Raw genomic sequence first — 24,456 nt, 5'->3', positions numbered from 1 at the left:
TCCTCATACAAAATTATTAACTTTATATCCTTCCTTATAAAAAATACATCTTCATATAATAACTTTCTTCACATCTCTCTCCCTTACTTACAAGCTCCTTATTACTTTGTTTCAAAACCTTTTTAAAGTCCATAATTTTAATTAACTTTTAGATAACTTCAGAGTTACACAAAATTATTTTTTACTAATAACATAAATTTGGGCACATTTTATATACAGAAATATGTGTTAACTATAATTCTTATCCTTAGTAACATTAAATTTTGGTGAAACCTAAAAAGAAATCCTGAACTATCAGATATGATCATTTTTATAGATGAGAACAATTTCACAATTTTAGAGACATATTTCCTCATATCACAATCCTTTTGAAACTGGAAATAACCCAGATATCCAATAAGCATAAAAATAATTTTAGAATTTTAATTTACACAAAAGTTCACCTAAAACATTTATCCCATTTACATGTACTCAATTTTTTTCATTTTTAACAGTTTATCTAGATTACTTCTGAAAACCGAGATATTAGACACCATCATTTAAGGTTAGTTATTTTCTTGTTAACCATTTTTTTAAAATAGCCAATGAACATCATATGCTCACCTAAATAAAAGCCTCAAAGTTAAATACGTAGGTATTTTTGCTGATAACTCAAAAAATTTAGCTAACAACATTAAACTATTCTCATTTGTCAAAGAAGGCACACAAATCAAGATGATTTTGTTTTGGCTGAGTTAATAGGTTTATTACCTTCTATGCCAAACACTGACAACTCAAAATATCTAGCAAAGACATATATAAAACCCAGAAAAAATGTATGTTTACAATTCTGAAGACATTTCTATTTTTATTTTACTGATAATTTTAAAACCAGCTTGTTCAGTAAAGATATACTTTACTGAAGATATACTTAAGATTCTTAAGTCATATGAACTTGAAAATTGCTTGCACTTATTTACTTAGTTTATGAGTGCTCTTCTGCTTACAAGCCAATTTGGTAGCCACAACAATAAGTGTACATGCAAATAAACACATCTAGACATGTATACACACACAAAAATGAAGATCCAGTAGCTTTTGCCTTGGAACTTTAGCCGTAAGATAACAATACAAGCTCACCAGTTTTACATGGTTACACTTTGTTTGCCCCAATAGGTAATCCCACAAAGACTGTGAATCAAAATTTTAGGTAAAGCAGCTTCTATGAAAGTTTGATTTTTAAAGGCCAAACCTCCCTAGACTCCAAAGAACACTGAGGACCAACAGCACCAAAAGAGAGCATCACAGTTGCATAGGGTGTAACTCTATGCACAGCCCGACCCTGCTTAGAACAGCAGCACAAAAGTCTGGATATGTGCAACTTCATTCCACTTTCCCATTCAACAGCAAACTCCAGATTCCTAACAATATTGAAGCCAAACAGTACTGCAAAAGAGTATCAAGCATTTCCTGCTTAGATTATCAGGGTCAAACGGATTCCAATGGTTGAGGATGCAGCCAAGTGCAGAATCAGGTAGAATAGATGCAGTGTTTCCCATGATGGTAAGGAATAAAAAAGATTCTAAGAAAAAAAGCCTAAGGAGGGCTTATTTATTGACCCAAAGTTTCTGCCTGGGGTGTCCCTCTGGGGAAGTCTTTGGTTTCACATTGGACCCCCAGGTGTACCCTTTTAGGGTCCCATCTTAGATTTTCACATGTCTCTGACCTTAGGTGGGCAACAGCACCACTTTGTATGTTTTCCCTTCAGAGGCAATGGCCAACTATGATCTTTCCTTTGGTTCCTGGATCTCATCTCTGGCCTTTAACATCCCACCAGTTTAGATGGGCCATATCTTCTGGCAGTTTTTTGCAGGACTAAGGAGGTTCCCAAACATCACAGAGTTGACAGTACCAAGGTTTGTGGGGTGTCTCCATGAAGGAAGATTCCAGGGGTTATATCAACGATTGGGGTTGAGAATTTATTTGGGGTCCATGGCAAGCAAATTGATGCTGAAGAAATGTCCATCAAGCTTGGGGTCCCATCAATGGAGGTTCAGGATGTAGAACATATTCTAATGCTTGTGGTCCCCAAAGGCCCTCAGCCAGTTGAATAGATCAAGTAGAAGGGAGGTCTAAGAAACATTATCTTTTGCTGTTATGGGCTAACTCTATAAATAATTTAGCATAAGAAAAGAGAATTTAAGTTGCCTGAAACATGTGTGAGTTCACCCTGGATGAGCTGCTACCCCCATTGCCTTACCCAGGAAGCACAAGGGGTTGGGGATTTCCCTTTTCTAGCCAAGGGAAGCCATGACAGACGGTACCTGGAAAATTGGGACACACCCATCCTAATACTGCGCTTTTCCAAAAGTCTTAGCAAACAGCACACCAGGAGATTATATCCCATGTCTGGCTCAGTGGGTCCCATGCACACAGAGCCTTGCTCACTGCTAGGACTGCTAGTGCAGCAGTCTGAGATTGAACTGTGAGGCAGCAGCAAGGCTGGGGGAGGGGCGTCTGCCATTGCTGAGGCTTGAGTAGGTAAACAAAGTGGCTGGGAAGCTCAAACTGGGTGGAGCCCACCGCAGTTCAATGAGGCCTGCCTGCCTCTATAGACTCCACTTCTAGGGGCAGGGCATAGCTGAACAAAAGGCAGCAGAAACTTCTGCAGACTTAAACGTCCCTGTCTGACAGCTTTGAAGAGAGCAGTGGTTCTCCCAGCATGGAGTTTGAGCTCTGAGAATGGACAGACTGCCTCCTCAAGTGGGTCCCTGAGCCCCAAGTAGCCTAACTGGGAGACACCTCCCAGTAGAGGCCGACTGCCACCTCACACGGCCGGGGCGAAGCTTCCAGAGGAATGATCAGGCAGCAACATTTGCTGTTTTGCAATATTTGCTGTTCTGCAGCCTCCACTGGTGATACCCAGGCAAGAATTTTCTGCAACCTCCGCTGGTGATACCAGGCAAGAATTTTCAAACCAGAATTTTCAACCCAGAATTTCATATCCAGCCAAACTAAGCTTCATAAGTGAAGGAGAAATAAAATCCTTTACAGACAAGCAATGCTGAGAGATTTTGTCACCAGCAAGCCTGCCTTACAAGAGCTCCTGAAGGAAGCACTAAACATGGAAAGGAACAACCAGTACCAGCCACTGCAAAAACATACCAAATTATAAAGACCATCCATGCTAGGAAGAAGCTGCATCAACTAACAGGCAAAATAACCAGCTAACATCATAATGACAGGATCAAATTCACACATAACAATATTAACCTTAAATGTAAATGGGCTAAATGCTCCAATTAAAAGACACAGACTGGCAAATTGGATAGAGAGTCAAGACCCATCAGTGTGCTGTATTCAGGAGACCCATCTCATGTGCAGAGACACACATAGGCTCAAAATAAAGGGATGGAGGAAGATCTACCAAGCAAATGGAAAACAAAAAAAAGCAGGGGTTGCAATCCTAGTCTCTGATAAAACAGACTTTACACCAACAAAGATCAAAAGAGACAAAGAAGGCCATTACATAATGGTAAAGGGATCAATTCAACAAGAAGAGCTAACTATCCTAAATATATATGCACCCAATACAGGAGCACCCAGATTCATAAAGCAAGTCCTTAGAGACCTACAAAGAGACTTAGACTCCCACACAATAATAATGGGAGACTTTAACACCCCACTATCAACATTAGACAGATCAATGAGACAGAAGGTTAACAAGGATATCCAGGACTTGAACTCAGCTGTGCACCAAGCGGACCTAATAGACATCTACAGAACTCTCCACCCCAAATCAACAGAATATACATTCTTAGCACCACATTGAACTTATTCCAAAATTGACCACATAGTTGGAAGCAAAGCACTCCTCAGCAAATGTAAAAGAACAGAAATCACAACAAACTGTCTCTCAGACCACAGTGCAATCAAATTAGAACTCAGCATTAAGAAACTCACTCAAAACTGCACAACTACATGGAAACTGAACAACTTGTTCCTGAATGATCACTGGGTAAATAACAAACTTAAGGCAGAAATAAATAAGTTCTTTGAAACCAATGAAAACAAACACATACAGTACCAGAATCTCTGGGACACAGCTAAAGCAGTGTTTAGAGGGAAATTTATAACACTAAATGCCCACAAGAGAAAGCAGGAAAGATCTAAAATCGAAACCCTAACATCACAATTAAAAGTACTAGAGAAGCAAGAGCAAACAAATTCAAAAGCTAGCAGAGGACAAGAAATAACTACAATCAAAGCAGAACTGAAGGAGATAGAGACATGAAAAACCCTCCAAAAAATCAATGAATCCAGGAGCTGGATTTTTTGAAAAGATCAACAAAATAGATAGACCACTCTCCAGAATAATAAAGAACAAAAGAAAGAAGAATCTAATAGATGCAATAAAAAAATGATAAATGGGATATCACCACTGATCCCACAGAAATACAAACTACCATCAGAGAATACTATAAACGCCTCTATGCATATAAACTAGAAAATCTGAAAAAAATGGATAAATTCCTGGACACATACACCCTCCCCAGCCTAAACCAGGAAGAAGTCAAATCCCTGAAAAGACCAATAACAAGTTCTGAAATTGAGGCAGTAATTAATAGCCTACCAACCCAAAAAATCCAGGACCAGACGGATTCACAACCAAATTCTACCAGAGGTACAAAGAGGAGCTGGTACCATTCCTTCTGAAACTATTTCAAACAATAGAATAAGAAGGAATCCTCCCTAACTCATTTTATGAGGCCAGCATAATCCTGATACCAAAACCAGGAAGAAACACAACAAAAAAAGGAAATTTCAGGCCAATATCCCTGATGAACATCAATGCGAAAATCCTCAATAAAATACTGGCAAACTGAATCCAGCAGCCCATCAAAAAGCTTATCCACCACGATCAAGTTGACTTCATCCCTGGGATGCAAGGCTAGATCAACATACACACATCAATAAACCTAATCCATCACATAAACAGAACCAATGACAAAAACCACAATAATATCTCAATAGATGCAGAAAAGACCTTCAACAAAATTCAACATCCCTTCATGCTAAAAACTCTCAATAAAGTAGGTATTGATGGAATGTATCTCAAAATAGTGAGAGCTATTTATGAAAAACCCACAGCCAATATCATACTCAATGGGTAAAAGCTGGAAGCATTCCGTTTGAAAACTGGCACAAGACAAAGATGCCCTCTGTCATTACTCTTATTCAACATAGTATTGGAAGTTCTGACCAGGGCAATCAGGCAAGAGAAATAAATAAACGGTATTCAAGTGGGAAGAGAGAAACTCCAGTTGTCTCTGTTTGCAGATGACATGATTACATATTTAGAAAACCCCATTGTCTCAGCCCAAAATCTCCTTCAATGGATAAGCAACTTCAGCAAAGTCTCAGGATACAAAATCAATGTGCAAAAATCACAAGCATTCCTATACATCAATAATAGACAAGCAGAGAGCCAAATCATGAGTGAACTCCCACATTCACAATTGCTGCAAAGACAATAAAATACCTAGGAATACAACTTACAAAGGATATGAAGGACCTCTTTAAGGAGAACTGCAAATAACTGCTCAAGGAAATAAGACAGGACACAAACAAATGGAAAAACATTCCATGCTCATGGATAGGAAGAATCAATATCACAAAAATGGCCATACTGCCCAAAGTAATTTATAAATTCGGCATTATCCCCAATAAGCTACCATTGACATTCTTCACAGAATTAGAAAAATCTAATTTAAATTTCATACAGAACTTGAAAAGAGCCCACATAGCCAAGACAATCCTAAGCAAAAAGAAGAAAGCTGGAGGCATCACGCTACCTGACTTCAAACTAAACTACAAGGCAACAGTAGGCAAAACACCATGGTACTGGTACCAAAACAGATATATAGACCAATGGAACAGATCAGAGGCCTCAGAAATAACACTACACATTTACAACCATCTGATCTTTTACAACCTGACAAAAACAAGCAATGGGGAAAGGATTCCCTGTTTAATAAATTATGTTCAGAAAACTGGCTAGCCATATGCAGAAAACTGAAACTGGACCCCTTCCTTACACCTTATACAAAAACTAACTCAAGATGGATTAAAGACTTAAATGTAAGATCTAAAACCATAACCACCCTAGAAGAAAACCTAGGCAGTACCATTCAGGACATAGGCATGGGCAAAGACTTCATGAATAAGACACCAAAAGCAATGGCAACAAAAACCGAAATTGACAAATGGGATCTAATTCAACTAAAGAGCTTCTGCATGGCAAAAGAAACTATCATCAGAGTGAACAGGCAACCTACAGAATGAGAGAAAATTTTTGCAATCTATCCATCTGACAAAAGGCTAATATCCAGAATCTACAAAGAACTCAAACAAATTTACAAGAAAAAAAAATAACCCCATCAAAAGATGGACAAAGGATATGAACAAACACTTCTCAAAAGAAGACATCCATGCAGCCAACAAACATATGAAAAAAAACTCATCATCACTTGTCATTAGAGAAATGCAAATCAAAACCACAGTGAGATCCCATCTCATGCCAGTTAGAATGGCAATCATTAAAAAATCAGGAAACAACAGATGCTGGAGAGGCTGTGGAGAAATAGGAACGCTTTTACACTGTTGGTGGGAGTGTAAATTAGTTCAAACATTGTGGAAGACAGTGTGGTGATTCCTCAAGGATCTAGAACCAGAAATACCATTTGACCCAGCAATGCCATTACTAGGTATATACCCCAAAGGATTATAAATCATTCTACTCTAAAGACACATGCACACATATGTTTATTGAAGCACTGTTCACAATAGCAAAGACTTGGAACCAACCCAAATGCCCATCACTGATAGACTGGATAAAGAAAATGTGGCACATATACACCATGGAATACCATGCAGCCATAAAAAAGGATGAGTTCATGTCCTTGGAAGCTGGAAACCATCATTCTTAGCAAACTAACACAAGAACAGAAAACCAAAACACCGCATGTTCTCACTCATAAGTGGGAGCTGAACAATGAGAACACATGGACATAGGGAGGGGAACATCACACACTGGGGCCTGTCAGAGGGTGGGCGGCTAGGGGAGTGACAGTATTAGGAGGAATACCTAATGTAGATGACGGGTTGATGGGTGCAGCAAAGAACCATGGCACACGTATACCTATGTGAAAAACCTGCATGTTCTGCACACGCATCCCAGAACTTAAAGTATAATAAAAATAAATTTTAAAAAATGATTTAAGGCCGGGCGCGGTGGCTCATGCCTGTAATCCCAGCACTTTGGGAGGCCGAGGCAGGCGGATCACGAGGTCAGGAGATTGAGACCATCCTGACTAACACGGTGAAACTCCGCCTCTACTAAAAATACAAAAACTTAGCCAGGCGAGGTGGCGGGTGCCTGTAGTCCCAGCTACTCGGGAGGCTAAGGCAGGAGAATGGCGTGAACCCCGTGGGGCGGAGCCTGCAGTGAGCCGAGAACTCGCCACTGCACTCCAACGTGGGCGACAGCAAGACCCTGTCTCAAAAAAAAAAAAAAAAGTTTTAAAAATCTAAAATTCATATGGAGCCCCCCAAAAATGCCCAAGTAGCCAAAGCAATTCTAAGCAAAAAGAACAAAGCTGGAGGAATCCCATTTCCGGGCTTCAAATTATTTTAAAAGGCTCTAGGAACCAAAAACGCATGGTATTGGTATAAAAATAGACACATAAGTCAATGGAACAGAATAGAGAACACAGAAAAAGAGCTACACATTTACAGCCAATTGGTCTTTGACAAATTTGATGAGAACATACGCTGGGGAAAGGACACCATTATTCGATCAATGGTACTTGGAAAATTAGATAGCCATATGCAGAAGAATGAAACTGGACCCCTATCTCTCAACAGTAACACAAATTAACTCAAAATAGATTAAAGACCTAACCATAAAAGGTGAAACAATAAAAATCCTAGAATAATACCTAGAAAAAACTCTACTAGACATTGGCCTAAGCAAAGAATTTTTGAGCAAGTCCTCAAAAGCAAATACAACAAAAACAAAAACAGACAAATGGGACTTTATTAAACTAAAACTCTTCTGCCCAGCAAAAGAAATAATCAACAGAATAAAGACACAATCTGCAGGATGGGTCAAAATATTTGCAAACTATCCATGTGACAAGGGCCTAATATCCAGAATATATAAGGAACTCAAACAACTGAACAACAACTAAAACAATGAATGATATCATTAATAAGTGGCCAAAGGATATGAATAGATATTTTTCAAAAGAAGACACACAAGTATAAGAAATAATACTCAGCATCAATAATCATCAGGGAAATGCAAATTAAAATCACAATGTTATATCATCTTGGCCCAGTCAGAATAGCTATTACTACGCACTTTGGGAGGCTGAGGCAGGTGGATCACCTGATGTCAGGAGTTTCAGACCAGCCTGCCCAACATGGCAAAACCCCATCTCTACCAAAAAATACAAAAATTAGCCAAGCATGGTAGTGCATGCCTGTAGTCCCAGCTGCTCGGGAGGCTGAGGCAGAAAAATTGCTTGACCCGGGAGGCAGAAGTTACAGTGAGACAAGATCGCCCCACTGCACTCCAGCCTGGGAGACAAAGCGAGACTCTGTCTCAAAAAAATAAAAATAAAAAAATAATAACAGATGTTGGCAAGAATGCAGGAATAAGGGAGCTCATATACTGTTGGCGGGAATGTAAATTACTACAACCTCTTTGGAAAACACTATGGAGAATTCTCAAAGAACTGAAGACAGAACTACTATTTGATCCAGCAATCCCGCTATTGGGTATCTACCCAAAGGAAAAGAAATCTATATATCAAGAAGATACCTGCACTCATATGTTTATTGCTGTTCTATTCACAATAACCAAGGTATGGACTAAACCTAAGTGTCTATCAACAGATGACTGGAGAAATAAAATGTGGCATATATACAAAATGGAACACCATTCAGCCATAAAAAAATAATGAAATCACATTTTCTGTAGCAACATGGATGACACTGAAGGCTTTAGTGAAACGAGTCAGACACAGAAAGACAAATACCACATATTCTCACTTATAAGTGGGAGCTATTAATAAATAATGTATACCAATGGACATCAGGTATGGAATGATACACAATGGAGACTCAGAAGGGTGAGGGGGTTGGAGGGAGTGGATGATGATAAATCACTTAATGATTATGATGTACTTTATTAGGGTGATACCTTAAAACTCCTGACTTCACCACTATGAAATCTATGCATGTAACAAAATTGTACTTGTACTGAATAAATTTATACAAATAAAAAGAGATGCCTGATAATAAGACACTAATTGACCATAAACATATACACTAGCCCATTAACATGAGCTGATGGGTTTGTCAGCTGGTCAGAATCTTTGCATAAATCAAGTTGAAAGGTTAGTAAATGAAGTCTGGGAAACGTGTTAATATAACTTTCAGAATGAGCACAAAGTATGATATAGTCATGAATTATTTACATCATTATACAAAGTTGCCTATTGGAGAGGAAGCTTTCTATGGTCGAATCACAAGGTGCCCCATCCTGTGAATGTCAGTCACTCTTTGAGCAACTCTGGTGCTTGTTTAATGGACTCATGTACAAAACAGCCATGGTGATGGGCTAGAGGTTATGCATGAGGTCAACAAAATGGATTTTCTCTTCCCACAGCTTCTCTGCCTGCTGAAACAACTCATTACCCAAATGTCAATGATAGTGATTATATATTAAGTCCCAGATTGGCACGCATTCTCCACTGATTGATTATATTGGACCTCTTCCACCAGAGAGAGAAGAGCATTTTTTTCCACTGGATTAGACAATTATCCTATATGTGACTATGCCTTCCTTGGCTGCAGCGCTTCTGCCAGCATCGTCAAGCACAGACATATGACAACATTTGTATTGTCATTATGCTATTCTGTGCAAAATGGTTTCTGATCAAGGAACTAATTTTGCCACAAAAAAAAGTACAGTGAAGAGCTCTTACTTAGGGAATTGACCAATATTACTATATATATATATATATTTCTTTATATAGAAGCAGCTGTTCATCTGGATCATTGGAATATCCTACTAAAAACATGTTGCTAGTTGAAAAGCACCATCTGCAAGGCTGCAAAAACCCCATAAAATGCAGTCCTTTATTTGGATCGATGACTTATATGTGGTGATTTTTAGTTTCATGACCAAAATGCATAATTTCAAGACTAGAGAGATAAAAGTGGGAGTGGTTTCTTTTACTATCATATTCAACAATCTATTTATTATATACTCTTGTTTCTCACTCCCACGAGTCTGAGGTCTGTCAGTCTAAAAGGCTTCCCAAGAAAGGAGTGACTTCACATAAGTAGGCAACATCTGTCCTGGTGACATGGAAGTTGAGACTGCCACCTGGCCAAGTTAGGCTCCCAGTGCCACTGAATCAACTGGTCAATAAAAAGGGATTGATTCCAGCTATCAAGTGGAAATAAACACCATCAAGGTAGAGAGAATTATGCCTAAAATCCAAGGAGTTCTCTGAGAAACATGTAATTACTTCAAGTTCAGTAGCAGATATTAATTAAAGACCACAGGGATGCAATGAAGGCAGGGTCGCTAAAGACTCAGATGCTTTAGGAATTCAGATTTGAGTCTTTTTACCAGATAAAAAAATAATCCCAACATAGAGAGGAATGGCTGAGGGAAAAGGGAATCTGGAGCAGGGAGTATTAAGTGTAACTGTTATTTATAGCTTTATAACTAGTTACTGAAAAGAGGACTGTAGCAGCTATGCCTATTCTCCCTCTTGTTGAGGAGGAATTACAAGCATCCTCCACATAACCTTCTCTTGGGGGATCAAGTAAAAATAAAAATGTGTAGCTGAAACACTGGCAATCAGAGCTGACCAGAAATTTTGCTATTCTAAGAAACATGCTCCTTATAATATAGACAGATGCCCCCTAGTAGAGTACAAATGTGTCTTTTCTGTCATAAACTGCCTCCACATCATCATACTGCAGTCCATTGACACTAAGCCTCTGAAGAAGACAGCACTATAAATCTGAGGAAGATCAGTTTAAATGATGCTGATCATAAGGAAAAATCAGGACGAATCATTGTCTCATTGTCTTAAAGAGAAATTAGTATCCTTTGCTCTTATTCTGAATGTGGACATACTTTCCCTAAGTTCCATTTCTGTTAGTAGCTACAACCAAGCTGACAAAAGAGAAGGCAAACTTATTTTCTTTATCTGCCTTTCCCAGGATCTATCTGCCTCTAAACTAATTATGAGACTCAAGATGTTTATCTTAATGAACTTTCCTAAAACTGGCCAGCAGCAAACTTCCCTTCTTGACACAAAAGAGGAGTCAATAAAATAGGAAAATAAGATTTTTTTAAATTACGGAATAGAACCTGGGACTGCCACTGCCCAGTTGGAAGAGAAGTATTAGACTAATCGCCCAAATATGACTTAATCAATCCAGATTTTTAACATTTCCTTGCTCCCTCCAATTTCTCAGAAACACCACCTTGGTAACCAGTGCTGCTGTGAGGTGAGAAAAGAACAGGACAGAACTGAAGTAACAACCAGCTCTCACAGTGAGTGATTCACATCAGCGTAAAGTCAAGCCAAGGCAAGTCACTGCAGCAATAAACCAGTAGCATGAAAATCAAAGTATCAGTGAAACTCCTAAGTGAAGGAAATCTCCTCTCAAAGATAACCTTACGAAATTCAATTTGGTACTTTCTACAGTTTTATTGAGGTATAATTGACAAATAAAACCTGTGTATATTTAAGGTGTACAACTTGACATTCTGGTATACATATATACTATGGAATAATCATCACAATCAAGCTAACTAACATGTAAATCACCTCAATCAATCCCCTCACATAGTTATCTTTTTCTTTTGGGTGAATAAAAACACATAAGAACTACCCTCTCAGCAAATTTCAAGTATACAATACAGCATTGCTAACTATAGTTACATTGTTCGAAATCTTACTTATCTTGCATCACTGAAAATGTGTGCCCTTTGACAAACATCAACCCATTTGCTCCTCTTTCCAGCCCCTGCCAAACACCATTCTACCCTCTGCCTCTGAGACAGCAAGATAGAGCTTAAGTAGCAACCAGCTCACTCACAGTGGGTGAGTCACATCAGCAGCATCAAGACAAGACAAGGTAAGTCACTGCAGCCATAAACAGCAGCATGAACACCAAAGTATCAGTCAAACTCCTAAGTGAAGGAAATCCCCTCTCAAAGATCACCTTACAAAATTCAGTTTGATATATCAAGCTCGAATATTTGAAATTACACATATAAATGTGATTATGCAGTATTTGTCTTTCTCTGACTGGCTTATTTCACTTAGCATAATGTCCTCCAGTTTCATCCATGTTGCCACAAATGGCAGGATTTTTTTCTTTTTTAAGGCTGAATAATACTTCATTATATATATACACCATATTTGCTTTTTCCATTCATTCATTGATGGACATTTAGATTTTTTTCCATATCTTGGCCACTGTGAATACTGCTGCAGTGAACATGGGGGTGCAAATATCTCTTCAACATACCAGTATTATTGCCTTTGGATAGATATGTAGTCAGAAGTGCAATTGCTGGATCATAAGGCAACTGTATTGTTAATTTCTTGAGGAACCTCCATACTGTTCCATAATGGCTGTACCAAGGTACATTCCCACCAACAGTATACAAGCATTTTCTTTACATCCTCTCCAACATTTGTTATTTCTTTTTTATGATAGCCATTAGAACATGTGTAAGATGATATGTTGTTGTGGCTTTGATTTGCATTTCCCTGATGATTAGTGGTATTGAGAACTTTTTCATACGCCTCTTAGCCAATTGCATGTCTTCTTTTGAAAAATATAAATTCAGGCTCTTTACTCGTTTTTTAATTGAGTGTTTTGGCATTCTGCTCTTGAGTTGAATGAGTTCCTTATATATTTTGAATACGAATCCCTTATTAGAAATGTGACTTGCAAATATTTTCTTCCATTCCATACATTGACTTTTCATTTGATTATTTCCTTTGCTGCGCAGAAGCTTCTTAATTTGATGTAGCCTTACTTATCTTTGCTTTCGTTGCTTTTGTGTTTGATGTCATTCTAAAAAATCATTGCCCAGACCAATGTCAAAAGGCTTTTTCCTATAGTATCTTCTAGCGGTATTATGGTTTCGGTTCTTACATTTAAGCCTTTAATCCATTTTTAGTTCATCTTTGTACATGATGAGAGATAAAGGTCCAATTTACTTATGCTACATGCAGGAATAGTTTTTCCAACATCATTTTTTGAAGAGTCTCTCCATTTCACATTGTTTTTATTGGCATCATTATCAAACATCAGTTGATAGTAAATGTGTAAATTTACTTCTGGGGTCTCTATTCTGTTCCACTGGTCTATATGTTCTGTTTTTATGGTGGTACCATACTGTTTTAATTATTGTATCTTTATATTTTGAAATCAGGGAGTGTGATGTCAGCTTTTATCTTGCTAAATATTGCTTTGGCTACTCAGATCTTCTTTAATTTTTTCACATCAATGCTTTATACTTTTTAAGGTATAAATATTTTACCTCCAAGTCACATTTATTCCTAAGTATTTTATTCCTTTTGATGTTATTTCAAATGGGCTTTTATTTCATAATTTTTTATGTGTCAATTTTTGTCAGTGTATAGAAGCGCAAGTGTGTTTTGTATGTAAAATCTGAATCCTGCAACTTTACTAAATTTATTAATTCTAAAATTTTTTTACTAGTCATTAGAGTTTTTACATATATGATTATGTCACCTACAAACAGATAATTTTACTTCATTCTTTCCAATTTAGGTGTCTTTCATTTCTTTTTCTTATCTAATAGCTCTGGCTGGGACCTTTATTAATATGTTGAAAAGAAGTATGTCATGTGGATATATTGTGTAATGCTAAGGTTCAGAATATGAATTATCTTGTTACCCAGGTAGTGAGCAAAGTATTCAACAATTTTTCAACCTTGCCTTCCTCCCTCCCTCTCCACTTCAGTAGTTCCCAGTGTCTTTTGTTGCCATCCTTATGTCCATGAGTGTCCAATGTTTAGCTCCCCCTTATAAGTGAGAACATGTCATATTTGGTTTTCTGTTCCTACATTAATTTGCTTAGAACACTGGCCTCCAGCTGCATCTATGTTGTTGCAAAGGACATGATTTCATTCTTTTTTATGGTTCTGTAGTATTCCATGGTGTATATGTACCACATTACCTTTATCTGGTCTACCACTGATGGGCACCTAGGTTGATTCCATGTCTTTGCTATTGTGAATAGTGCTGAGATAAATGTGTGCACACATGTCTTTATTATAGAATGATTTATATTCCTTTGGGTATATATCCAGTAATAGGATTCCTGGGTTGAATGGTAGCTCCATTTGAAGTTCTTTGACAAATCTCCAAACTGCTTGCCACAGTGGCTGAATTAATTTACATTCCCATCAGTAGTGTATAATCATTCCCTTTTCTTTGCAACCTCATCAGCATCTGTTTTTTTTTACTTTTTTTTCTAACACTACTCCAACATGATGTAGTTTACTTTAGCCTTCTGTACTTGTATGTCTGTAACTTCCCTCTTTCTGAGAGAAACTGGCTTCCAGCACCTGCTATCCATTTACTTGTTTTGGGTTTTTGTGTTTGAGATGGAGTCTTGCTCTGTCACCCAGGCTGGAGTACAGTGGTGTGATCTTGGCTCACTGCAACCTCCGCCTCCCATGTTCTAGTGATTCTCCTGCCTCAGTCTCCTGAGTAGCTGGGACTACAGGTGCCCAACACCATGCCCAGTTATTTTTTGTATTTTTAGTAGAGAGGGGTTTCATTATGTTGACCAGGCTGGTCTCAAACTCCTGACCTCAAGTGACCCTCCCAGCTCGGCCTCCCAGTGTTGGGATTACAGGCATGAGCCACCACGCCCAGCCCACTTTTTTACTTTTTAATAATCACCATTCTGACTGGTGGGAGATGGTATCTCATTGTGGTTTTGATTTTCATTTCTCTAATGATTAGTGATGTTGAGCATTTTTTCATATGTTTGCTGGCTGTGTGTATATCTTCTTTTAATAAGTATCTGTCCATCTCCTTTGCCCATTTTTTAGTGGGGTTGTTTAGTTTCTGCTTATTAAGTTTCTTATAGATTCTGGATATTAGACCTTTATTGAATACATGGCTTGCAAACATTTTCTCCCATTCTGTAGTTTCTCTGTTTACTCTGTTGATAGTTTCTTTTGCTGTGCAGAAGTTATTTAGTTGAATTAGGTCTCACTTGTATATTTTTGTTTTTGTTGCACTTGCTTTTGGAGACTTTGTCAAAATAGTCTGATCTTCGACAGTGTTGACAAAAGCAATGGGAAAAGGATTCCCTATTCATTAAATGGTGCTGGGATAACCAGATAGTCATATGCAGAAGATTGAAAATTGACACTTCCCTTTCACCATATGTGAAAATCAACTCAAGGTGGATTAAAGACTTAAATATAAGACCTAAAACTGTAAAAACCCTAGAAGAAAACTTATGAAGTACCATTTGGCAAAGATTTCATGACAAATTCTTCAAAAGCAGTTGAAACAAAACTAAAAATAGGCAAGCAATGTTTTTCTTCAGTAAGCCATTTTTCTAACTGAAATGTATAAAATGTGTTTGTGGTGAGTGGGTGAAGAGCTTTAAGGAGCATGTGCTCTTCTTAAACTACTGTGTTATAGGACATTGCCATGGTAATGAGTGGCCAAAGGAGTTCAGATGAAGGGTTTTGGAATGAGGGTCAAACAATCTTGAAACTGGGGTGTTGGATTGCTTTTCCTTTGGTCACTAAAGCCTCGTATGATTATATAAGAACCTATACTGAATAGAAACACAATAATTGCTGACTCCTATGTATTGAGTGCCTGCTAATGGTCTCATATTACTAAATATTTTATACACATTGGCTCTAATTCTGACAATTACCCTTCAAGATATATATCACTGTCCCAGATGTATAGGCTAAAGCCAGACATTATCTGGAAAGAATTAGTGGAAGGGATAGGAAAGTTGGTTGCTTTTGTTAAATCAAGAAGCATAAAAGTAGTGTGCACTGTTTTGGTTGGATAGCCTCAGTAACAAAGAAAGGTGGATTTTTACCTGATAAGAAAATAACATGCTTTCTGAGGACATATAAGGGAGCTTCAGAATGCTGACACTGCCCCCTGGCTCTTTGGTCTAGGGTGGGAGAGGAAAAGCAGTAACAATTAGTGACACATACAAGGTAGGTGGTTTCCATGGGGCAGAGTCAAGTTTTCTTTAAGGGAATGTGTTAGTAAAGGTTCTCTGAAGAAAGAAAACCAATAAGATGTGTATATGGAGAGAGAGACTTGTTTGAAAAGACTGCCTCACATGATTGCGGAGTCTGGCAAATCCGAAATCTGCAGGGCAGGCCAGCAATCTGGAAACCCAGGGAAGAGTTGCTGATGTACCCTTGAGTCCAAAGGGGATCTGGACACAGAATTTCTTCTTCCTCAGAAGACTTCGGTTTTTTTTTTCTGAAGGCCTTCAACCCACTGTATGAGGCTTACTCAGATTATTGAAGGTAATCTGCTTTAGTCAAAGTCTACAAATTTAAATGTTAATCACATCCAAAAAATGTCTTCACAACAACATGTAAACTGCTACTTGATCAAAAACTGGACACTATAGCCTAGCCAAATTGGAAAATAAAATTATCACAGGAAGGAAGAAAGAAGACAATTATATAAATAAGGCAGAAATATTGGGTGGAGTAAACTGAAACAGGATGAATGTCCTGGGTCAACAGATAGAATGGGTAGAAAAAATAAATGAAAGACTAAAAGCATAAAAGGATCCACGGAATGAGAGACTACAGGAATTTGCATTTTGGAGTGCCCTATGGTGAGAAAGATAAGAAGCATGGTAAAATGGATGTTTCTTGAAGGGAGGGCCAAAGCTAAGCTAGTAAAGTCCTGTACTATTGGAGGCCTGAGCAGATTAGTACACTGAGTCTTTCTCATTATGGAAATGGAATGTTGTAGGGCACCATTCTAATTTCTTGGAGCAGTTCTGTTAGAAACAGAAAGGGACTAATCACCTTAGCAGCAACTCATCATATCAGTCCCTCTCTTGTGTTCAGAAAGCCCTAAGCTCTGGAAGTAGACCTGAGAAAGAGTAGATTTTTTTTCATATTGCTTCAGTTAAATCTACCAGCTAACTCAGACTTTTCTCAATTCTCCACCCACACCTTTAATATTTCCACTATCTAATTTGAGATATTTATGAAATAGCCAAGTGTGTGTGACACTCCACTTCACTATTTTACATTTTTGAGGCTCACCCAGTCCGATTGTCCCAAGTCAGAACTGGTTTATGGAGTCTGTCCTCCTGCTGGAATTTGGTCTGCTTGCTGTCTTTGTATCTTTCTGGTGTCTCATGTGTGGCCACTGCTTCTGCCATGGTCTCTCCTCCTAAATTCCTAAGAATGACTCCTCAGCACTACTCCTTGCCTTGACCCAATGCAACTTGGTTCCAAATAGCCTTTCCTGTAGCGCCATAATAAAGCACACTCAAAGCCCTTTCTGAAAATATTTCTGACAATAGGTTTATCAAGGCTCATACATAACAAAACAAAAACAAAACAAATAACAATAACAAAGCCTATCTGCCCAATCTACTCTGAGGGGCAATTTTAGCTGATTCTGAGCTCCTATGTCCTGAACCCGGACAGACTGCTAAATAAGAGTAACTGCCCAAACAATTTGTTTCATTCTACCAGATCCTAGATTCATATCTTACTGACTTCCAAAATCCCCTACTAGAAGGCTCCAAAAAAAAAAAAGAAGTAGAAGAAGGGCTCCAAATTTGATATCATCATGGTCCACGTGACAACCCAGATGCACCCTGAGAAAGTAGTGACGTAATGGATTGAATCAGACTGCTCTAAATTATAATCTTGCCTGCTATTTGCTGGCTGTGTGATTGCAGCAAGTCAGTATAAAAGATAAATATTAATTATGTGCTCAATATTGTATATTAAATGGAACTAGTCTCACGTTTGTGAAGCCAAACTACCAGACTACTCAGCAAAAGATCAATGTTGAGTCTGTTAAATGTAAATATGAATGAACAGAAATAGGACTTTCATCCTACTTGCATTCTCTGGTACAAGAGAAACTTAAGAACCTTGATTCTGCTCACTAATCAGCCAGAAAACCTAGATTACTATAGTATTTATAGCATCAAACATAATAATGTAGAATATATAAACATGGAGGGATTATACCATTTACTTTTCAAAAGATTTCTTTAAACGGCAAGTTCTTCCACTTGCAATGATATACTATGAAATATTAAATATATGTCAAAACAGCTGATTCTAAAGCAAGCTGGAGAAATTGAATTTTTATTCTTGTTTACTCTTATTTCCACTCCATTATCTCAGCTGAGTTCTTATTTCTCTGACAGCCAGAAAAGGAAACATTTCCTGAATATCCAAGGAGAAAAGAGAGGAAATAATAAAAGACACATTTCTTCCCACCCACTGTCCGACACATTTCCTTCTTAGTAGATGCCAATGATAGGCAGACAACCAAAAAACTAGAAGAACAGGAGTTACATTTTCCTCAACAATGGGCAGGTATAATATGTGTAAAATTGTGTATTTTCTTCAGTAAGCCTCTTTCTAGCTGAAATAGCATACAGGATGGGATTGTGAGTAATTTTAATGAGCATTGCAGAAACTTCATTTAGGTGTTGAAGTGGTGTGATGACAAAGATAAGAAGTATGGAGGATGATTTTGAACCAAGCAGTAACCCAGTCCAGAGAAAATGGGATTCCATTTAAGAGGTAGGAGCTTGGATTGGTTAAGAGCTTAGACTGAAGAGAGTACAGAGAACATAGGAAAGAACTCAGGCCATACCTAGATTAAATTCTGGTAACTGAAGGGAAAGCAAAATGAATGACTGACATTAGCATCTACTTTTCCTTGCACCTCCATTGCATTTTTAGATATACTGCTTTATTATTTCAGTTCACATTCCTGCTGGCCCTGCCTGGAATCCCATTTAATACATCCACTATTGAGAACAGAATTAATATTTATTTTTTATACTGACTTGCTGCAATCTTTCCTGAAAGGAATATTTGTGACTTATGCAAAATTTGAGCTGAATTTGGCTAGGTCATATGCAATAAAACTGAAAGTTGATAAGGGGAACCAATTCCTGGGTGAGGCAGCAATGTTGACACAAACAAGGTAAATTGTGCAAGCTCAGACAGGCTGAGTTTAATTTCCAAAATACATGGCAATGGCCATTATGCATTATTTCTGGAAGCAGAGGACTGCATACCAGACCATCCTCCCTCTCCAGAAAGTCTACTAGGAATATGTTCATACTATTACTTAGGTCACAATAACAGGAGGCTGAGAGCTTTGTAGGGTCACAGATAGAGGCAGAAAGAAAGTCAGGCTACAGATTGCTCAGCAAAGGGGACCAGAATGCAAAAACCAAACCATGGACTGCAACAAAACTTGCAAAAACTTGACAAAGCTTTGTGAAAGAATAAGAATTACAGAGGAAACAAGGATAAGATCTCAGACAGAAGGACATATAATTTGACCTTAGTGTGTGTCCTTGATACACGAAAACCACATGATTATCTCAATAGATGCAGAAAAGGCCTTTGACAAAATTCAACAACCCTTCATGCTAAAAACTCTCAATACATTAGGTATTGATGGGACGTATCTCAAAATAATAAGAGCTATCTATGACAAACCCACAGCCAATATCATACTGAATGGACAAAAACTGGAAGCATTCCCTTTGAAAACTGGCACAAGACAGGGATGCCCTCTCTCACCACTCCTATTCAACATAGTGTTGGAAGTTCTGGCCAGGGCAATCAGGCAGGAGAAGGAAATAAAGGGCATTCAGTTAGGAAAAGAGGAAGTCAAATTGTCCCTGTTTGCAGATAACATGATTGTATATCTAGAAAACCCATCGTCTCAGCCCAAAATCTCCTTAAGCTGATAAGCAACTTCAGCAAAGTCTCAGGATACAAAATCAATGTGCAAAAATCACAAGCATTCCTATACACCAATAACAGACAAACAGAGAGCCAAATCATGAGTGAACTCCCACATTCACAATTGCTGCAAAGAGAATAAAATACCTAGGAATCCAACTTACAAGGGATGTGAAGGACCTCTTCAAGGACAACTACAAATGACTGCTCAATGAAATAAAAGAGGATACAAACAAATGGAAGAACATTCCATGTTCATGGGTAGGAAGAATCGATATCATGAAAATGGCCATACTGCCCAAGGTAATTTATAGATTCAATGCCATCCCCATCAAGCTACCAATGACTTTCTTCACAGAATTGGAAAAAACTACTTTAAAGTTCATATGGAACCAAAAAAGAGCCCGCATCGCCAAGTCAATCCTAAGCCAAAAGAACAAAGCTGGAGGCATCACACTACCTGACTTCAAACTATACTACAAGGCTACAGTAACCAAAACAGCATGGTACTGGTACCAAAACAGAGATATAGACCAATGGAACAGAATATAGCCCTCAGAAATAATGCCGCATATCTACAACTATCTGATCTTTGACAAACCTGACGAAAACAAGCAATGGGGAAAGGATTCCCTATTTAATAAACGTTGCTGGGAAAACTGCTAGCCATAAGTAGAAAGCTGAAACTAGATCCCTTCCTTACACCTTATACAAAAATTAATTCAAGATGGGTTAAAGACTTACATGTTAGACCTAAAACCATAAAAACCCTAGAAGAAAACCTAGGCAATACCATTCAGGACATAGGCATGCGCAAGGACTTCATGTCTAAAACACAAAAAGCAATGGCAACAAAAGCCAAAATTGACAAATGGGATCTAATTAAACTAAAGAGCTTCTGCACAGCAAAAGAAACTACCATCAGAGTGAACAGGAAACCTACAGAATGGGAGAAAATTTTTGCAATCTACTCATCTGACAAAGGGCTAATATCCAGAATCTACAATGAGCTCAAACAAATTTACAAGAAAAAAACAAACAACCCCATCAAAAAGTGGGCAAAGGATATGAACAGACACGTCTCAAAAGAAGACATTTATGCAGCCAAAAAACACAAGAAAAAATGCTCATCATCACTGGCCATCAGAGAAATGCAAATCAAAACCACAATGAGATACCATCTCACACCAGTTAGAATGGCGATCATTAAAAAGTCAGGAAACAACAGGTGCTGGAGAGGATGTGGAGAAATAGGAACACTTTTACACTGTTGGTGGGACTGTAGACTAGTTCAACCATTGTGGAAGTCAGTGTGGCGATTCCTCCGGGATCTAGAACTAGAAATACCATTTGACCCAGCCATCCCATTACTGGGTATATACCCAAAGGATTATAAATCATGCTGCTATAAAGACACATGCAAACGTGTGTTTATTGTGGCACTATTCACAATAGCAAAGAAGTGGAACCAACCCAAATGTCCAAGAATGATAGACTGGATTAAGAAAATGTGGCACATATACACCATGGAATACTATGCAGCCATAAAAAATGATGAGTTCATGTCCTTTGTAGGGACATGGATGAAGCTGGAAACCATCATTCTCAGCAAACTATTGCAAGGACAAAAAACCAAACACCGCGTGTTCTCACTCATAGGTGGGAATTGAACAATGAGAACACATGGACACAGGAAGGGGAACATCACACACCAGGGACTGTTGTGGGGTGGGGGGAGAGGGGAGGGATAGCATTAGGAGATATACCTAATGCTAAATGACGAGTTAATGGGTGCAGCACACCAACGTGGCACATGTATATATATGTAACAAACCTGCACGTTGTGCACATGTACCCTAAAACTTAAAGTATAATAATAATTAAAAAAAACTGATGAAAATTTAACACTGATTGCATAAACAAACATACAAACAAAAAGAGAACTAATACAAACTCTACATTTTAATTTTGTCCTCCCAACTCTAACTTTTTGTTGTTACTATTTATATTTTATTGTACTATGTCTTGAAAAGTTGTTATGGTTCTTATTTTTTAGAGTCTTTCTACTTAAGATAAAAGCATTTTATATACCACAATTACTGTCTTATTATAATAGTCTGTGATTTTTCCATGTGCTATAACCAGTGAGTTTCATACCTTCAGATAATATTTTGTTGCTCATTAATGTCCTTTTCGTTCAGATTGAAGGACTCCCTTTAGCATTTCTTGTAGAACAGACCTGGTGTTGATGAAGTCCCTCAGCTTTTGTTTGTCTGGGAAAGTCTTTATTTTTCCTTCATATTTGGAGGATATTTTCACCAGATATACTATTCTAGGGTGAAAGTATTTTTCCTTCATTACTTTAAATATGTCATGTCACTCCTCCTGGCCTGTAAGATTTTCACTGAAAAGTCTGCTTCAAGACTTATTGGAGGTCTATTGTATGTTATTTGTATCTTTTCTCTTGCTGCTTTTAAGATTTGTTCTTTATCTTTGACCTTTGGGAGTTTGGTTATTAAATGCCTTGAGGGAGTCTTCTTTGGGTTAAATCTGCTTAGTGTTCTATAACCTTTTACTTGAATACTGGTAACTTTCTTTAGATTTGGGAAGTTCTCTTATATTATTCCTTTGAATAAACTTTCTATCCTTATCCCTTTCTATTCCTCCTTTTTAAGGCAAATAACTCTTAGATTTGCCCTATTGAGGCTATTTTGTAGATTTTGTAGGTGTGCTACATTGGTTTTTATTCTTTTTTCTTTTGCCTCCTCTGACTGCTTATTGTCAAATAGCCTGTCTTCAAGCTCACTAATTATTTCTTCTGCTTGTTCAATTCTGCTACTAAGAGACTCTGATGCATTCTTCAGTATGTCAATTGCATTTTTCAACTCTAGAATTTCTACTTAAATCTTTTTGACAATTTCAATTTCTTTGTTTAACTTATCTGATAGAATTCTGAATTCCTTTTCTGTGTTATCTTGAATTTTTTTTTAACTTTTTTCAACACAGCTATTTTCAATTATCTGTCTGAAAGATCAGATACCTGTGTTTCTCCAGGATTGGCCCTAGGTGCCTTATTTAGCTCACTTGGTAAGGTCATATTCTCCTGGATGGTCTTGATGCTTATAGATGTTGGTCTGTGTCTGGGCACTGAGGAGCTAGGCGTTCATTGTAGTCTTCATGGTCTGGGCTTATTTGTGCCTGTTCTATATGGGAAGGCTTTCCAGGTATTTAAAGGGACTTGAGCCTCACACTCAATAATGCTGTGGTTCTTGCAGGCTCATAGAGGTGCCAACTTGGTGGTCTTAGGTAAGATCTGGAAAATTTTTCTGGATTATTAGGCAGAGACTCTTGTTCTTTTCCATTACTTTCTCCCAAGCAAACGGAATCTCTCTGTGTTCAACCTCCTGGAACTGGGAGTGGTAGGACAGAAGGATACATATGGCCACCACTGCTGGGACTGTGTTGGTTTAAACCTGAAGCCAGCCCAGCACTGGGTCTTCCCCATGGCCCACTGTAACCACTACCTGGCTACCACCTAAGTTTACTCAAGGACCTAGTGTTATAGTCTCACCAATGCACCACAATGTAGCAGTCTCTTGTTGTGACGTACCACCTGGAGTTCTTCGTCCCATGACCAAGAATATTAGGGAGCATGGAGGCAAAGGGTGAGGTTGGAGTGAAAGTTGAATGAGCAAAAGAAGAAAGCTCTCTACAGCAGAGAGGGGGGCCTGAGAGGGTTGCCATTTTTACAGTTGAATCCAACAGCTTTTATAAGAAACTCCCCCTCACCAACAGCTTTTATAAGAAACTCCCCCTCATCTCTGTAGCTATTTGTATCACTTCTCTTGTCTGTGAAACTGTCTGTGCAACTCCCCTCATCTGTGGAGCTGCAGGCATATCTTTAGGCAGCACAAAGTGCAGGTTCTCTTGTTTGTGCAACTGTGGATGTGTTTTGGGTAAGCCCCCACCTCCCTGTGCAAGTACCCATGGAAAAGAGGTGGAAACTTTTTCATGGGAGCCCACTAATCACACAAAGAACAAAAGGCTTCTGTGTTGGACTTTGCTTTCTTATCAGTGCAGCAGCTGCAGTTTGGTTTTACCCCAGGCTGCTCTATTTGTGCCTGTAACTGTGATTTTTCAGGTGTCTTTCTGTTTAAAAGAATTTTACCAAGGACCAGCTTTAGTTGTCTGCCCAACTAATTTTTCCTTTTTCTCCCCCTCTCACTAGGGCTCTACAATCAGCAGGTGGCAAACCCACTGATGTTTCTGTCCCTCCTTCAGGTTGGCAAGTTCCCCCAGGCCCCGGATAGGTTCAGAGATGCTGTCTGGAAGCCAGGGATTAAAGTCAAGAACCTTAGAAA

At 38.3% G+C, this 24,456-nt stretch overlaps 1 long non-coding RNA gene and 1 pseudogene across 6 annotated transcripts in view; one reads left to right on the top strand and one right to left on the bottom strand.

The window, feature by feature from the left end:
* Positions 1–24,456, bottom strand: part of LINC02794 (long intergenic non-protein coding RNA 2794) — a 131,616-nt gene that overhangs the window by 41,266 nt on the left and 65,894 nt on the right. The window lies entirely within an intron of this gene.
* Positions 1–24,456, top strand: part of SKINT1L (Skint1 like (pseudogene)) — an 80,714-nt pseudogene that overhangs the window by 42,308 nt on the left and 13,950 nt on the right. Inside the window, exons 8-9 of the transcript NR_026749.2 lie at positions 11,548–11,661; positions 12,100–12,213. The product of NR_026749.2 is annotated as a Skint1 like (pseudogene) (transcript). The remainder of the gene's footprint in view (positions 1–11,547; positions 11,662–12,099; positions 12,214–24,456) is intronic.

Source organism: Homo sapiens, chromosome 1, assembly GCF_000001405.40.
Source record: "Homo sapiens chromosome 1, GRCh38.p14 Primary Assembly".
Taxonomy (NCBI): Eukaryota; Metazoa; Chordata; class Mammalia; order Primates; family Hominidae; genus Homo; species Homo sapiens.
Note: the sequence above shows the minus strand (reverse complement) of the source record. Positions and strands in the feature narration are given on the sequence as shown.